The sequence below is a fragment of the Homo sapiens genome, chromosome 11 (genome assembly GCF_000001405.40).
Source record: "Homo sapiens chromosome 11, GRCh38.p14 Primary Assembly".
Classification (NCBI taxonomy): domain Eukaryota; kingdom Metazoa; phylum Chordata; class Mammalia; order Primates; family Hominidae; genus Homo; species Homo sapiens.
This window is the reverse complement of record NC_000011.10, coordinates 4,293,389-4,312,613: the sequence shown is the minus strand read 5'-3', so window position 1 is coordinate 4,312,613 and position 19,225 is coordinate 4,293,389. Positions and strand designations below refer to the sequence as shown.

At 36.9% G+C, this 19,225-nt stretch overlaps 2 annotated features.

The window, feature by feature from the left end:
* Nucleotides 16,093-16,593: an enhancer, noted in NCBI's record as "H3K27ac hESC enhancer chr11:4317251-4317751 (GRCh37/hg19 assembly coordinates)". NCBI's record gives its function as "activates a minimal SCP1, AML or CMV promoter by ChIP-STARR-seq in naive H9 embryonic stem cells {active_cell/tissue: H9 hESC(naive)}" and the evidence as "EXISTENCE:reporter gene assay evidence [ECO:0000049][PMID:30033119]".
* Nucleotides 16,594-17,094: an enhancer, noted in NCBI's record as "H3K27ac hESC enhancer chr11:4316750-4317250 (GRCh37/hg19 assembly coordinates)". NCBI's record gives its function as "activates a minimal SCP1, AML or CMV promoter by ChIP-STARR-seq in naive H9 embryonic stem cells {active_cell/tissue: H9 hESC(naive)}" and the evidence as "EXISTENCE:reporter gene assay evidence [ECO:0000049][PMID:30033119]".

Genomic DNA, 19,225 nt, shown 5'->3' with positions numbered 1-19,225 from the left:
ACCTTTGAGGAAAAGCTTTAAACTTTTCCTCACTGAGTATGATGTTAGCTGAGGGTATGTCTTATATGGCCTTTATTGTGTTGAGGTGCATTCCTTCTATATGTAATTTGTTGAGAACATTTTTCATGGAAAAAAATGTTGAATTTTGTTAAATACTTTCTCCATCTATTGAGATGACCATATGATTTCTGTTCGTCATTCTGTTAATATGGTATATCACGTGTATGTGGAACCATCTTTACCCTATGGATAAATCTCACTTGATCTTGATGAATGATCATTTTTATATGCTGTGGAATTCAGTTTACTAGTATTGTTGAGGATTTTTGCATCTATGTTTATATTTGTTGAGGATGTTTGTGTGTAATTTTTTTGAGACAGTATCTCGCTCTGCTGCCCAGGCTGGAATGCAGTGGTGTGATCATGGCTCACTTCAGCCTCAACTCCTGGGCTCCAGCAATCCTCTTACCTCAGCCTCCCAAGTAGCTGGGATTACAGGCATGCACCACCTTGTCTAGCTACCTTTTTCTATTTTTTGTAAAAACACGGTCTCACTATGTTGCCTAGGTTGGTCTCAAACTGCGGGGCTCAAGTGGTCCTCCTGCCTCAGCCTCTCAATGTACCGGGATTATAGGTGTGAGCCACTGCTCTCAGAGTAATTTTCTTTTATTGTATGGTCCTTGTCTGTCTTTCGTATCAGATAGTCCTAGCCTCATGAAATAAGTTTGGGATTTTGCCCTCTTCTTCAGTTTTTTGAAAGAGTTTGAGAAGGACTGGTTTTCTTTCTTCTTTAAGTGTTTTGTAGAATTCATGAGTGAAACCATCAAGTCCTGGGCTTTTCTTTTCTTTTAAACAGCTTTAAAGATATAATTTACATATCATACAATTCATCCATTTAAAGTGTATCATCCAGCCTAAATGCCCATCAACCAACAAGTGGATAAAGAAAATGTGGTATATACACCATGGAATACTACTCAGCTATAAAAAGAAATGAAATAATGGCATTTGCAGCAACCTGGATGGAGTTGGAGACCATTGTTCTAAGTGAAGTAACTCAAGAGTGGAAAATCAAATATTGTATGTTCTCACTTACAAGTGGGAGCTAAGCTAGGAGGATGCAAAGGTATGAAAATTATATAATGGACTTTGGGGATGTGGGAGGAAGGGTGGGAGGAGGTGAGGGATAAAAGACTACACATTGGGTATAGTATACGCAGCTCTGGTAACCAGTGCCCCAAAATCTCAGAAATCACCACTGCAGAACTTATCTATGTAACCAAAAACCATCTGTTCCCCAGAAACTATTGAAATGTAATAAAAAATAGAAATAACAAAAATCAATAAAGTCTATAATCCAATGGTCTTAGTATGTTCACAGAGTTACACAACCATCACCACAATCAATTTTAGAACAGTTTCATCACATAAAAAACTTCATAACCATTAGTAGTCATTCTTCCTTTTCCTCCCCACTCCCACCTATTCTCTTCCCCTCTTCCCCTAGCCCCAGGCAATTACTTATCTACTTTCTAACTCTATATAATTGCCTATTCTGGACACATGTTTAATGTATTATATACATTTCTCCTATATAACTGTAATTACATATCCTTTGACCACCATCTCCCTATCCCTACCTCTCCCTTAACCATCCACACCTCTGGTAACCAACATTCTACTCCCTACTTCTGTGAGATCAAGTTTTTTCTCACTCACATATGAGTGAGATCATCCAACATTTGTCATTTTATGCCTTATCTATTTAACTTAATGTTCTCCAGGTTCAAACATGTTGCAACTAACAGGATTGTGTTCTTTTTGATGGCTGAATAGTATTCCATTGTGTATATATACCACATTTTCTTTATCCATTTTTATCTGTAGATGGGACACTTAGGGTGATTCCATATCTTGGCCTTTGTGCATAGTGCTGCAATAAACCTGGAAGCACAGATATCTCTTTGATATACTGATTTTATTTCCTTTGGATATATACTCAATAGTGGTGTTACTGAATCATATGATAATTCTATTTTTAATATTTTAAGGACCCTACAGAGTGTTTTCCATAATGTCTGTACTAATTAACATTCCCACCAACAGTGTGTAAGAGTTCATTTTTCTCCACATCCTTACTATTTGTTCTTTTGTCTTTTTGATAATAGCCCTTAAGATAGGTGCAAAGTGATATCTCATTGTGGTTTTGATTTATATTTCCCTGATCATCAGTGATGTTTAACATTTTTTAATACACCTATTGACCTATTGGCCATTTGTATGTCTTCTTTTGAGAAATGTTTACTCAGGTGTTTTGCCCTTTTTAAAATACTGTTGTTTGTTTTCTTGTCATTAAGTTGTTTGGATTCCTTATAAATTTTAGATATTAATGCCATATCAGTTGTATAGACTGCAAAGATTTTCTCCCACTTTACAGGTTGTGTTTGCACTTTGTGGATTGTTTTCTCTGCCGTGCAGAATCTTTTTCTTTGAATGTAATCTCAGTTGTCTATTTTGCTTTTTGTCATCTTTGATTTTGAGGTCATATCCAAAAAAAAAATCCTTACCCACACCAATCTCTGAAGCCTTTCCCCTATATTTTCTTCTAGTAGTTTCATGGTTTCTGGTCTTATGTTTAGGTCTTTAATCTTCTTTGACCTTTTTTATACATAAGGTGAGATAAGGGTCTAATTTCATTGTGCATGTGACTATCTACTTCTTCCTATCCTACTTACTGAAGAGACTCCTTTTCCCAATATGTGTTCTTGGTGACTTACTTGATTGAAAATCTATTGTCTCTAAGTGCTTGGAATTATTTCTAGGCTCTCTATTTCTGTTTCATTGGTCAATGTATCTGTTTTTATGCTAGTGCCATGATGTTTTGGTTACTATAGCTTTATTGCATATTTTGCAGCCCCATAATATGATGCCTTCAACTTTGTTCTTTGTGGTGAAAATTACTTTGGTTATTTGGGGGTTTGTGTGGTTTTATAGGTCTTTTAGGATTGTTTTTCCTATTTCTGTAAAAAAGTATCATTAGTATTTTGATAGTCATTGCATTCAATCTGTATATAGTTTTGAGTAGTATGAATGTTTTAGCAATATTATTTTTACAATTTATTCATATGTAATATTCATTTCTTTGTGTCTTCTTCCATTTCTTTAATCAGTTTTTTTTTTTCATCATAGAGATATTTCACCTTCTTGGTTAAATTTATGTCTGGGTACTTTATTTTATTTTTGCAGCTATTGTAAATGGGATAGTTTTCTTGATTTCTTTTTCAGATAGTTTTCTATTAACATATAAAAAGACTACTAATATTTTTGTTGATTTTTTATCCTTCCACTTTACTGAATTTGCATATTAGTTCTAATAGTTATTGGTGGAGCCTTTAGAGTTTTCTACGTATAAGATAATGTTATTCGCAAACAGGGAAAAATTAACTTCTTCCTTTCCAGTGTGGATGCCTTCTATTTCTTTCTCTTGCCTAATTGCTCTGGCTAGGACTTCCATACTATGTTGAATACAAGTAGTGAAATTAGGCATCCTTGTCTTGTTGCCGATTTCAGTGAAAAAGCTTTCAACTTTTCCCCACTGAGTATAATGTTAGCTGAGGGTTTGTCATATATGACCTTTATTGTGTTGAGATGCATTCCTTCTACACCTAATTTGTTCAGAGTTTTTATCATGAAGAGTGTTGAATTTTGTCAAACACTTTTTCAGCATCTATTAAAATGATTATATTTTTCCTTCATTCTGTTAATTTAATGTATCACATTTATTGATATTCATATTTTGAACCATCCTTGCATTCCTAGGATGTATCTCACTTGATCATGGTGAACAATCTTTTCCACAGACTGTTGAAATCAGTTTGATAGCATTTTATTGAGGATTACTGTATCTATGTTCCTCAGGGATATTGGTCTGTAGTTTTTCTTCTTTTGTTTTTGGGACCTTGTCTGGTTTTGGTGTCCGGGTACAGCTGACCTTGTAGAATTAGTTGGGAATAATTCCCTCCTCTTTAGTTTTTTGGAATATTTTGTGAAGAATTGGTAGTAAATCTTCTGTAAATATTTGACAAAATTAAGCTGTGCGGTACTGAGCTTTTTTTGATGGCTTCCTTTTATTATTGATTCAATCTCCTTGCACATTATTGGTCTGTTCAGGTTTCCATTTATTCATAATGCAATTTTGGTAGCTCCTATGTTTCCAGGAATTTATCTATTTCTTCTCGATTTTCCAATTATTTGGTGTATAATTGTTCATAATAGTCTTCAGATCCTCTATGATTTCTGCGATATCAGTTGTAACGTCTCCTTTTTCATCTCTCATTTTATTTATTTGAGTTTTCTCTTTTTTTCTTAGTCTAATTACCGGTTTGTCAATTTTGTTTATCTTTTCAACAAATCAACTCTTTATGTCTCTCTTCTATTGTTTGTCTTTAAACAATATAAAGTAGTCTAGTTTTATAGGTAAAACAAGGAGTACTAATTTTGCGTTTGCTCTTGTTTTTCTATTTTCTTGAGGTAAAATGGTAGGTTGTATATTGGTGCTGTTTCTTCTTTTGTTTTTATTTTTAATTTTTGTGGATAAATAATAGGTGTATATATTTATGGGGTGCATTATATGTTTTGATACAGGCATGTAATGCATAATAATCACATCATGGAGAACGAGGTATACATCTCAAGCGTTTATCTTTTGTGTTACCAACAATTCACTTTTACTCTTTTAGTTGTTTCAAATGTACAATCAAATTATTGTCAGCTGTAATCATCCTTTTGTGCTATCAAAGAATAGGTCTTATTCATTCTACTTTTTGTATCCATTAACCAACCCCACCTCCTCCCCAACCCCCAATACACTTCCCAGCCTCTGGTAACCATCCTTCTACTCTCTATGTCCATGAGCTCGGTTGTTTTGATTTTTAGATCCAGCATAAATGAGAACATGCAATGTTTTTCTTTCTTTGCAAGCTTTATTTCAGTTAACATAGTGATCTGCAGTTATATTCATGTTGTCACAAACAACAGAATCTCATTCTTTGCATGCTGAATATTAGTACTGATTATTAGAATAATAGTAATCCATTGTGTACATTACCAGATTTTCTTTATTCATTCATCTGTTGATGGACACTTAGGTTGCTTCCAAATCTTGGCTATTGTGAATAGTGCTGCAATAAACATAGGAGTGCAAATATCTCTTCCATTTCCTTTTTTTGGGTGTATACCCAGCAATAGGATTGCTGGATCCCATGGTAGCTCTCTTTTCAGTATTTTGAGGAACCTCCAAACTGTTCTCCATAGTGGTTATACTAGTTTGCATTCCCACCAACAGTGTACAAGAGATTGCTTCTCTTCACATCCTCACCAGCATTTGTTATTGCCTGTCTCTTGGATAAAAGCCATTTTAACTGGGGTGAGGTGGTATCTCATTGTAGTTTTAATTTGCATTTCTCAGACGAGCAACGCTATTGCTTTCATAGGAGGCACCTTTTCATAAGCCCATTTGCCATTTGTATGTCTTCTTTTGAGAAACGTCTATTCAAATCTTTTGCCTATTTTTTAATCAGATTTTTAGACTTTTTTCCTATAGCATTGTCTGAACTCCTTGTATACTCTGGCTATGAACCCCTTTTCAGATAGGTAGTTTGTAAATATTTGCTACCATCTGTGGGTGTCTCTTCACTTAGTTGAATGTTTCTTTTGCTGTGCAGAAGTTTTTTAACTTGATGTGATCCTATTTGTCCATTTTGGCTGTGGTTGCCTGTGCTTGTGGGGTATTGCTCAAGAAATTTTTGCCCAGACCATTGCCTGGGAGAGTTTCCCCAATGTTTTCTTGTAGTACTTTCTTAGCTTGAAGTATTAGACTTAACGCTTTAGTCCATTTTGATTTGATTTTTGTATATGGTGAGAGATTCAGTGATACTGCCTAGTTTCTTTCTTTTTTTTTCTTTTTTTGCATGTGGATATCTAGTTTCCCTAGCACCATCTGTTAAAGAGACTGCCTTTTCCCCAGTGTATGTTCCTGGCACCTTTGTCAAAAATGAGTTTACTGTAGGTGTGTGGATTTGTTTCTGTGTTCTTCATTCTGTTCCATTGGTCTATGTGTCTGTTTTCATGACAATACCATGCTGTTTGGGTTACTATAGCTCTGTAGTATAATTTGAAGTCAGGTAACGTGGCTCTCCCAGTTTCGTTCATTTTGCTTAGGATGGCTTTGGCTATTCTGGGTCTTTTGTGGTTCTGTATACATTTTAGGATTTTTTTTATTTGTGTGAAGAATGCCATTGATATTTTGATAGTGATTGCATTGAATCTGTAGGTTGCTTCGGGTAGTATGGACATTTTAACAATATTGGCTCTTCCAATCCATGAACGTGGAATATCTCTCCATTTTTTTTGGTATCCTCTTCAATTTCTTTCATCAGTTATTTGTTTCCTTCCCCTGCCACTTTCAGAATCTTTATTTTTGAACTTTGACAGTGTGATTATAATTCATATTGGGGTAATCTTACTTGGATTTAATATGACATAGATAATGTATATTAAATACATTTCTACTTTAAATGTCTTCAACTTATGATTACTTTGTTGGGACGTAACCTCATCATACATCAAGGAACATTCATATGATAAAGCAAGTAGAGTTAAAATTTAATGAAAGAATCTTGGTGGTTGACTATATAATTGGTCATCATAATTTTTTTTTAATTTTCTGTATATTTGAAACTTTTTATAATAAAATAATAAAAAATTTATTTACTTGAATAAGTCATGGTGACTCTTTAAGAATAGCCAATACAGAATAATGGAAATAAAATGATTATAAAGGTTACCAATTCTTGATGTTCTTAGATATCCATTGTTAATAAATTTTAATGTATACTGTTATATGTTTTTCATGTGTATGAGCATTTGTGTGTGTGAATGTTTGTTGTTTCCCTAGTATCTATTGCATCTACTATCATTACTAACATAATAGTTACTAAATCAAGAAAATAATGTTTCATTTTAAAAAGCAAAAGTATGAAATTCTCATTGTAGACTATTTGGAAAATATTTAAATGTACAAAGAATTTCCTATTTTACTCTTGTGTTTATGGTACATTCTGTTTATCTCTTACTTGACCTTTTAAATGCATTTGGAAATCAAACATTTTTATTTCAATAATTTATACCCTATTATTTTACCCATATTTCTAACAAATATTTATCATACTTGAAACATATCTTAACTAGCTGCAAATTACAACAATTTAGTTACCAGTGTAACTTTTTCATACTTAACATCTACTGTATTTCACATTTTACAGTTTGTCCAAAAAGTAATCTTTTTTACAAGAATTTCCTTATTTTATCTGTTCCTTAATTCTAGTTATATAGGAGGACCTATATGTAGTCAAGTCACCAAACATTTTCTCTGGGTGTTTCCCTTCTCTTTTTAACTTCAGGAATTGTTCTGATTCTAATATAAGTCTATTACTTACTCTGTCTTTATTCCATTTATTTTAGATTTTAAATTGATATATGTAATATTTCAACAATATGTTATTTAAAAATATATTGTAATAATATTATAATTACCAACAATTGCACTCATAAAAATAATTATTAATATTGAAAACATTTCATTATTTAATCATACTTTCATGTATTTCTATGTTGTATAATGATTAGTTTATTATTACTTAATGTTACATGACAAGAATTTCCTTTGCTACAAAATGAACTTCACGTATTTATTTAACTTTAATTAATACTGCCTAACAGATTTTCACATAAACAATATATTACAAAATATATCATTTTAGCCAACCTATACATTCTTATTGAATATTTATTTCAGATGATTTGCCAGTATCAATAAACTTGTCATAAACATGATTATTCATAAATTTGTGTATGTGCTCTATGTTACTTTTTTATATGGGATAGATTCTTAAAGTTTTCTTATTTACATTTGACATGCTCTTGGCCAGGTAGAATATATACAAATTGTTAATACATCTTATGAAAACTAGGATCATTTTTGCTTGTCAACTATACTAAAAATAATTAAATAAAAAATTGTCAAATTAAAGATGCCAGTGCGAGTTATAATTTATATCATAAATTTTTGTATAATGAAAATTATAATTTCTTAATGGAGAAATTTCTTAATGAGGTGTTATTTCTGCAAAAATGATGGCCTTCTTCCAAGAGCTAGAAGTACATGATCAAAGTACCCAAGGCAATGTTTAGCTTTCAAAAAAAAATTCAGCATGAGTAGAATCCTGAATGGAGTAGGTTAGATATCAATGACACTCCCCCAACCCAATCAATCTATGACTTTAGACAGAAGCTTGTCATCCAACAAATTCAGGGTTGTCTTGGATTTTGTTTTTGTTTTTTAACTAATTGCAAAGAGGGAGACCAGAGGAACAATGGGGTGTCTCAACAAACAAATGAAAAGATTTAGTTATTATAGGATTTAGGGTACAGATTAGTTTTAGGCAAAATAATCAACATTTTAATAAGGTTAAAATAAAGCAGGGGTATCTCTAAAGAGATTAACATAAATACTGAAATCTTATTTTAGAACTCAGCTGCCTGATCTGAGAATGGGTGGCTAAACTCCCCCATTCATCAAAGGTTGGCCTGTGATGTCGTTCTTTTATGAATTTTGGCTTGAAAATCTTTCATTCCCTATTTACGTACATGTACTCAAAATTGGCTAGCCAGAGAACTTTTCACTGAGAACAGGATATGTGGACTGAAACTTACCTAATAAGCAGTAAGCCATAGAAAAATAGGCAGTGAGAGTATTTGGGGCACAGGAAAAAGAAATTTCAAAAAGCCGACTTCTAAAATTAGATGAAGGAGTTCAAAGAATAGAAATGGTTGTAGCAGAGTATTTGTGGAGGTGAAGCAGAAGATAAAGTAGATGAGGTGAATAGAAATCTAATCATGTAGGGTCAAGTATGCAAATGTTAAGATTTGAAGATAGGATTTATGGATTTTTTTCTGATTGAATCTTGGAAAATTGTTGGGGAGGTATAGGAGCAAGTTGATACTATAAAAGCTGAGAAGATAATTCAAGGACAGAACAGTAAAGTATCTTCAAATGCTCCTGAGAGGTTAAAACAAGAGGAGGAGAGAAAAATGATCATTGACAATATAAAACCACAACTTGCACTATTATTTCCCATGTAAAAAAAAGCTCTATGACATAAAATACATCACATACCACTATACTCTCTTCAGGAGAAGCAACGAAATTGTTGGTTGAAATTGTAGGCTGTTAAAAATCATAGAAATGACTAAATTCACTCTAACAGGATTGATAGAAATAAAAAACTCTGGAAATTTCTGATATTCTTTAAAATCATGTTTTAAACATGAAGTCCTTGCCCATGTCTATGTCCTGAATGGTATTGCCTAGGTTTTCTTCTAGGGATTATATGATTTTAGGTCAGAATAACCAATGCAGAGAAGTCTGTAAAGGACCTGATGGAGCTGAAAACCAAGGCACGAGAACTACATGACGAATGCACAAGCCTCAGTAGCTGATTCGATCAACTGGAAGAAAGGGTATCAGTGACGGAAGATCAAATGAAAGAAATGAGGTGAGAAGAGAAGTTTAGAGAAAAAAGAATAAAAAGAAATCAACAAAGCTTCCAAGAAATATGGGACTATGTGAAAAGACCAAATGTATGTCTATTTGGTGTACCTGAACGTGACGGGAAGAATGGAACCAAGTTGGAAAACACTCGACAGGATATTATCTAGGAGAACTTCCCCAATCTAGCAAGGCAGCCCAACATTCAAATTCAGGAAATACAGAGAATGGCACAAAGATACCCCTCGAGAAGAGTAACTCCAAGACACATAATTGTCAGATTCACGAAAGTTGAAATGAAGGAAAAAATGTTAAGGGCAGCTAGAGAGAAAGCTCGGGTTACCCACGAAGGGAAGCCCATCAGACTAACAGCTGATCTCTCGGCAGAAACTCTACAAGCCAGAAGAGAGTGGGGGCCAATATTCAACATTCTTAAAGAAAAGAATTTTCAAACCAGAATTTCATATCCAGCCAAACTAAGCTTCATAAGTGAAGGAGAAATAAAATACTTTACAGACAAGCAAACGCTGAGAGATTTTGTCACCACCAGGCCTGACCTAAAAGAGCTCCTGAAGGAAGCACTAAACATGGAAAGGAACAACCGGTACCAGCCACTGCAAAAACATGCCAGATTGTAAAGACCATTGAGATTAGGAAGAAACTGCATCAACTAATGAGCAAAATAACCAGCTAACATCATAATGACAGGATCAAATTCACACCTAACAATATTAACCCTAAAAATAAATGGGCTAAATGCTCCAATTAAAAGACACAGACTGGCAAATTGGATAAAGAGTCAAGACCCATCCGTGTGCTGTATTCAGGAAACCCATCTCACATGCAGAGACACACATAGGCTCAAAATAAAGGGATGGAGGAAGATCTACCAAGCAAATGGAAAACAAAAAAACGCAGGTGTTGCAATCTTAGTCTCTGATAAAACAGACTTTAAACCAACAAAGATCAAAAGAGACAAAGAAGACCATTACATAATGGTAAAGGGATCAATTCAACAAGAAGAGCTAACTATCCTACATATATATGCACCCAATACAGGAGCACCCAGATTCAAAAAGCAAGTCCTTAGAGGCCTATAAAGAGACTTAGACTCCTACACAATAAGAATGGGAGACTTTAACACCCCACTGTCAACATTAGACAGATCAATGAGACAGAAAGTTAACAAGGATATCCAGGAATTGAACTCAGCTCTGCACCAAGTGGACCTAATAGACATCTACAGAACTCTCCACCCCAAATCAACAGAATATACATTCTTCTCAGCACCACACCGCACTTATTCCAAAATTGACCACATAGTTGGAAGTAAAGCACTCCTCAGCAAATGTAAAAGAACAGAAATTATAACAAACTGTCTCTCAGACCACAGTGCAATCAAACTAGAACTCAGGATTAAGAAACTCACTCAAAACCGCTCAACTACATGGAAACTGAACAACCTGCTCCTGAATGACTACTGGGTACATAACGAAACGAAGGCAGAAATAAAGATGTTCTTTGAAACCAACGAGAACAAAGACACAACATACCAGAATCTCTGGGACACATTCAAAGCAGTGTGTAGAGGGAAATTTATAGCACTAAATGCCCACAAGAGAAAGCAGGAAAGATCTAAAATTGACACGCTAACATCACAATGAAAAGAACTAGAGCAGCAAGAGCAAACACATTCAAAAGCTAGCAGAAGGCAAGAAATAACTAAGATCAGAGCAGAACTGAAGGAAACAGAGACACAAAAAACCCTTCAAAAAATCAATGAATCCAGGAGCTGGTTTTTTGAAAAGATCAACACAATTGATAGACTGCTAGCAAGACTAATAAAGGAGAAAAGAGAGAAGAATCAAATAGATGCAATAAAAAATGATAAAGGGCATATCGCCACTGATCTCACAGAAATACAAACTACCATCAGAGAATGCTATAAACACCTCTATGCAAATAAACTAGAAAATCTAGAAGGAATGGATAAATTCCTCGACACATACACCCGCCCAAGACTAAACCAGGAAGAAGTTGAATCTCTGAATAGACCAATAACAGGCTCTGAAATTGAGGCAATAATTAATAGCTTACCAACCAAAAGAAATCCAGGAACAGATGGATTCACAGCCGAATTCTACCAGAGGTACAAAGAGGAGCTGGTACCATTCCTTCTGAAATTATTCCAATCAATAGAAAAAGAGGGAATCCTCCCTAACTCATTTGATGAGGCCAGCATCATCGTGCTACCAAAGCCTGGCAGAGACACGACAAAAAAAGAGAATTTTAGACCAACATCCCTGATGAACATCAATGTGAAAATCCTCAATAAAATACTGGCAAACTGAATCAAGCAGCACATCAAAAAGCTTAGCCGCCATGATCAAGTGGGCTTCATCCCTGCGATGCAAGGCTGGTTCAACATACGCAAATCAATAAACATAATTCAGCATAGAAACAGAACCAAAGACAAAAACCACATGATTATCTCAATAGATGCAGAAAAGGCCTTTGACAAAATTCAACAACTCTTCATGCTAAAAACTCTCAATCAATTAGGTATTGATGGGACGTATCTCAAAATAATAAGAACTATCTATGACAAGCCCACAGCCAATGTCATACTGAATGGGCAAAGACTGGAAGCATTCCCTTTGAAAACTGGCACAAGACAGGGATGCCCTCTCTCACCACTCCTATTCAACATAGTGTTGGAAGTTCTGGCCAGGGAAATCAGGCAGGAGAAGGAAGTAAAGGGTATTCAATTAGGAAAAGAGGAAGTCAAATTGTCCCTGTTTGCAGACGACATGATTGTATATCTAGAAAACCCCATTGTCTCAGCCCAAAATCTCCTCAAGCTGATAGGCAACTTCAGCAAAGTCTCAGGATACAAAATCAATGTGCAAAAATCACAAGCATTCTTATACACCAATAACAGACAAACAGAGAGCCAAATCATGAGTGAACTCCATTCACAATTTCTTCAAAGAGAATAAAATACCTAGGAATCCAACTTACAAGGGATGTGAAGGACCTCTTCAAGGAGAACTACAAACCACTGCTCAAGGAAATAAAAGAGGACACAAACAAATGGAAGAACATTCCATGCTCATGGGTAGGAAGAATCAATATCGTGAAAATGGCCATACTGCCCAAGGTAATTTATAGATTCAATGCCATCCCCATCAAGCTACCAATGACTTTCTTCACAGAATTGGAAAAAACTACTTTAAAGTTCATATGGAACCAAAAAAGAGCCTGCATCGCCAAGTCAAACCTAAGCCAAAAGAACAAAGCTGGAGGCATCACGCTACCTGACTTCAAACTATACTACAAGGCTACAGTAACCAAAACAGTATGGTACTGGTACCAAAACAGAGATCTAGACCAATGGAACAGAACAAAGCCCTCAGAAGTAATGCTGCATATCTACAACCATCTGATCTTTGACAAACCTGACAAAAACAAGCAATGGGGAAAGGATTCCCTATTTAATCAATGGTGCTGGGAAAACTGGCTAGCCATATGTAGAAAGCTGAAACTGGATCCCTTTCTTACACCTTATACAAAAATTAATTCAAGATGGATTCAAGACTTAAATGTTAGACCTAAAACCATAGAAGAAAACCTAGGCAATACCATTCAGGACACAGGCATGGGCAAGGCCAACACCAAAAGCAATGGCAACAAAAGCCAAAATTGACAAATGGGATCTAATTAAACTCAAGAGCTTCTGCACAGCAAAAGAAACTACCATCAGAGTGAACAGGCAACCTACAGAATGGGAGAACATTTTTGCAATCTACTCATCTGACAAAGGGCTAATATCCACAATCTACAATGAATTCCAACAAATTTACAAGAAAAAAACAAACAACCCCATCAAAAAGTGGGCAAAGGATATGAACAGACACTTCTCAAAAGAAGACATTTATGCAGCCAACAGACACATGGAAAAATGCTCATCGTCACTGGCCATCAGAGAAATGCAAATCAAAACCACAATGAGATACCATCTCACACCAGTTAGAATGGCGATCATTAGAAAGTCAGGAAACAACAGGTGCTGGAGAGGATGTGGAGAAATAGGAACACTTTTACACTGTTGGTGGGACTGTAAACTAGTTCAACCATTGTGGAAGTCAGTGTGGCAATTCCTCAGGGATGTAGAACTAGAAATACCATTTGACCCAGCCATCCCATTACTGGGTATATACCCAAAGGATTATAAATCATGCTGCTATAAAGACACATGCACACGTATGTTTATTGCGGCACTATTCACAATAGCAAAGACTTGGAACCAATCCAAATGTCCAACAATGATAGACTGGATGAAGAAAATGTGGCACATATACACCATGGAATACTATGCAGCCATAAAAAAGGATGAGTTCATGTCCTTTGTAGGGACATGGATGAAGCTGGAAACCATCATTCTCAGCAAACTATCGCAAGGACAAAAAACCAAACACCGAATGTTCTCACTCAGAGGTAGGAATTGAACAATGAGAGTACATGGACACAGCAAGGGGAACATCACACACTGGGGCCTGTTTTGGAGTGCGGGGAGGGTGGAGAGGGGACGGATAGCATTAGGAGATATACCTAATGTTAAATGACCAGTTACTGGGTGCAGCACACCAACACGGCACATGTACACATATGTAACAAACCTGCACGTTGTGCACATGTACCCTGAATCTTAAAGTATAATAAAAAAAGAAAAAGAAGACCTTGTCTTTTGCTAGGCATTCAGCATGGGTATTGATCAATCTAGTCAGGAGTTGAGATGGTTTAGGCTTTGTTGTTGTTATAATGATCCTGAATAAACCACATGTTTAATGGCCTCTAGTGTTACTCTCTTAGTCTATTTCTACTGTTATAACAAAATGCCTGAGACTGGACAATTTATAAATAATAGAAACTTATTCCTCACAGTTTTTGAGCCTGGAACGTGCAAAATCAAGGTGCTTGCAGGTTTGGCATCTGGTGAGGGCCTAGTCTGTTCTTCCAAGATGCCACCTTGAACACTGTATCTTCACAAGACAAAAGAAACAGAAGAGCAAAAAGGGCCTAGGCTAGTTCCCTCCAGCCCTTTGATAAGTTCACTAATTCCATGTAGGAAGGCTCTGCTCTCACGACTTAATCACTTCCTAAAAGCCTTGCCTCTTAATATTATCACATTGGTGGTTGAGTTTTAACATATGAATTTTGGGGAATATCTTCAGACCATAACTTTCCATCCTTAGCCCACCAAATTCATTTCCTTCTCACACACAAAATACATTCATTCCATCTTAATAGCCCCAAAAAGTTATAACTCATTCCAGTACCAATTCAAAATTCTAAGGTCTAGAGTCTCATCTAAATCAGATATGAGTGAGACCCAAGGTACAATTCATCCTGAGGCAAATTTCTCTCCAGCTGTGAGCCTGTGAAATCAAATAAGTTATGTGTTTCCAAAATACAATGGTGAGACAAGCATAGACTAGACACTTTCATTCCAAAAGGGAGAAATAGCCAAGAAAAAAGGGGGGTAATGGGTCCCAAGTAAGCCCAAATCCAAACAAGGTAAATAACATTAAAACTTTAAGCTTGAGAATAATTTTTGACTCCATGCCCTGCCTTCCAGACACACTGGGGTGGCGGTTGGGTCCCAAGGCTTCAGGGGACCCGACCTCCATGTCTTTGCCGGATGCAGCCCATGCTGCAGCTTTCACAGGTTGGAGTTCAGTGCCTGTGGCTCTCTCGAGCTAGAGTTGCACGTTGGTGATTCTACAGGTCTGGAGTGTTGGGAGCAGCCCAGCCCTACAGTTCTCTTGGGCATGACCCAAGTGGAACTGTGAGGTGGCTCCACTATGCATTACCCTCTCTGTGTGACTCTGCCCCTGTGGCAGTTCTCTCTGTGGGCACTGCACTTCAGCCTGGGTGACAGAGACTGTCTCAAAAAAATTAAAAAGGCAAAAGATCTGGACAGACATCTCATCAAAGAAGATACACAGATGGCAAAGAAGCATATGAAAAGGTAGTCAACAACATGTCATTGGAGAATTACAAATTTACACAACATGAGATACCACTACATACCTATTAGAATGGTGAAAATCCAAAACACTGACAACAGTACATGCTGGGGAGGATGTGGAACAGCAGGAGCTCTCATTCACTGCTGATGGGAATGCAAAATGGTACAGCCACTTAAGAAGGCAGCTTGGCAGTTTCTTACAAAACTAAGCATACTCTTACCATACAATCCAGCAATCATGCTCCTGGGTATTTGCCCAAATGAGTTAAAAATGTATGTCCACACAAAAACCTGCAGACAGATATTTATAGCAGCTTTATTCATAATTGCCAAAATTGGCAATCAAGATGTCCTTCAGTCAGTGTATGCACAAGTAAATTGTAAAAAAAAAAAGCAAAAATCAAATAATAACACCTAAATAAAAGATATTCAGGTCAGAAAGGAGGATGTAAACCTGTATTTATTAAGAGATGACATGGCTGCGTATGTAAAAAAAAAAAATCCTAAGAATCTACACAACACTTGGGATAAATAAATGGATTTAGCAAGGTCAGGGACACCAAGTTTAAAATACAAAAATAAATTATGCTTTATATAAAACCAGCAAATAATTTAAAATACCATTACAAACAATTTTATTTATCATAACACTAAAACAAAGCATAAAATATCTAAATTTTATGGCTGGGCACAATGACTCTCGTGTGTTATCCCAGCACTTCAGGAGGCCAAGGCAGGCAGATTGCTTGCACTCAGGAGTTCAAGACTAGCCTGGGCAACATGGTGAGCCCCATCTCTACTAAAAACACAAAACAACTTGGCTGGGCATGGTGGTACACGCCTGCAGTCCCAGCCACTCTGGAGGCTGAGGTGGGAGGATCACTTGAAAGCAGGAGGGGTGGCAGGGGCAGTGGTGGAGGTTGCAGTAAGCCAAGAGCTGAGATCGCGCCAGTGCACTCTAGCCTGGGTGACAGAGCAAGACCCTGTCTCAAAAAAAATCTAAATTTTAGCGGAGCTTAACATTTGAATGTGATCAGAGAAAGAGACATGGCCCAGCGAGCAAGTTGGTCAGTTGAAAACAAGGCAGTTCTGGAATGGCAAAAAACCTGAGGGTCCCACAGGGCACTCTTGGGAGTGCTAATTATTTACAAGAGCCAAAGGATCTTGTGGAACACACCCAAAGGATCTTGGAGGATGCTAAGCAGATGTGGGGCACTTTAACAGTCATGCCAATGGGTCATGCAGTACTAGCAGAATGTTTAGAAAAACCGTTCAGCTCCAAGAAAGACCATCCTCCTATTTATCCCTCAACTAAATTCACTTGGTGGGTCAAATTCAAAATCCAGCAGAAGGCCTCTAAAAGCTCTTCACGGTAAACAGTTTTCTAGCCTCTGCTCGCAGTTCAACCAAGACCAGAGATGGTCAGAGTCCCCACCAGCCAAATCATTAGCACCCAATTACTATTATTACCACTAAACATGTCCCTGGAACTGAGAAATATTCTGTGACAAACAAAAAGATATTTCTTAAACATAAAACTGTTTCTCCTTTACAAATATGTATATATACAGTTACTTGGACTAATTAAATAAAAAGATATGAAAAGGATACATAAAGAAAGAGATAAGTTTATCAGCAGGAAGAAGATTAGTGAATAAGATAACTGAAAATTAAACGTGGATTATTTGGTGGCCAAAGAAAAAGAGGGTACAGAATGTTTTTCATAGTTGACCTTGACTTACAGAAGTAGGGAAAATTGATTTTTAAGTGATATTTAGGTATTCCCATGTAAATATTTAAAATATTATTATTACAAATACAAAAGTTTAAATGGCTTTTTTGAAAATGTTATAAACTTAATTCAAGTTCCAAAGAAACACTTTTGATAAAAAGTGTTTCTTAAGTAATTAATATGATTTTCAGGCCGGGCATGGTGGCTCATGCCTGTAATCCCAGCATTTTGGAAAGCCAAGATGAGAGGATCACTTGAGGCCAGGAAATTAAGACCAGCCTGGGCAACATAGGGACACCCCATCTCTACAAAAAAAATTAAAATATGTAAAATTTTCAAAAGAAAATTAATCCCAGATCCCATAAAATGGAAACAGGAATAATTGTTGTAGCAATGCTAACACTCTTTTGTTAGGAATAAGTACATGAGCATACATAAGAAGGGATGGAGATTTAGAGAAAAAGGTGGACTAGGCAGGCTTGGAGAGCCATAATGACTTGGCCAACATGTACGGAATTGAGGAGATGTTGAAAAGATGGTTCTATATTTGGGCTCCCTGGAATAATAGCAGCCCCTCAGGCTTTCAGGCCAACACATAAAATCTCAGTTCCCTGTCACCCATCATTCTGACAGCCTTGTTGTCACTCACCCCATTCTAGCCCAAGAGAACTCCATTTAAAACAGGTAAGTGATTTTTTTTATTGCTGTGAGTAAAATTACAGTCTAGATAGGAAAGGCCCCATCTAGACTAGATGTTATGGGACCTAAAGTAGGTGGCTGAAAGCACTAGTACTATTGTCTGGACTTGGGTAGACAGAGTTGGAGAGACTAAAGCAGTGTGGGGTGGAGCCACTTGTACTGGCTCATCTGTGCATATTCCTTGCAAACTTCACATTCAGTGATGTCACGTTGATACCTTGAAAATGACCTTGGTGGGAGTACATACACTGCCAAAACTGGCAAACACTACAATGCAGGGCTTTAATTGATTGACTGATCTTTGTGTGTGTATTTTAGCTGGGTTACCAGCACACCACCAAACCACAGTCATAAATATGGGCTATGCCAGTAGAATGGAAAATGCTGTCTGGGATGGCAGAATGAGGAGACTCTGGGCATGGGGTCCCTTTTTACCTCTCAGTGTGCCAAAGAACTCTGACCCCGGAGCCCCTCCAAAGAAGGTTCTACATTGGCTCTGATCCTGACTACTGTAAATATCCAAGGTATTAAAGGGACTTATTTACGGCTACCCTGCCCTGATACTTCACACTCATCCAATATTTTGTCATTTGGTTGTTTTGTTAAACATTTTGAGGAGTTGCACTGTGCTGTGATGTACTGAGATCTGGAAAAACACAAAGAAAAACTATAATTCTCAGACCTCAGAAAGTCTTAAATCAGTTAGGGGAAACATTGCCAGGTGATCTAACATACTCCTATTCCTGAGATAGGTCCTCTGATAATCAGACTTTTTGTGAAATCAGAGAGAAGAAATCATTTATGAGGTGAACGTTCTCACAGGCACATTGCTGACACATTGGAGAGATGATTTTTTTTTTTTTTTGAGAGGGAGCCTCGCTCTGTCGCCCAGGCTGGAGTGCAGTGGCACAATCTTGGCTCACTGCAAGCTCCACCTCCTGGGTTCACGCCATTCTCCTGCCTCAGCCTCCCGAGTAGCTGGGACTACAGGCGCCCGCCACCACGCCCGGCTAATTTTTTGTATTATTAGTAGAGACGGGGTTACACCGTGTTAGCCAGGATGGTCTGGATCTCCTGACCTCCTGATCCGCCCGCCTCGGCCTCCCAAAGTGCTGGGATTACAGGCGTGAGCCACCACACCCGGCCGGAGAGATGA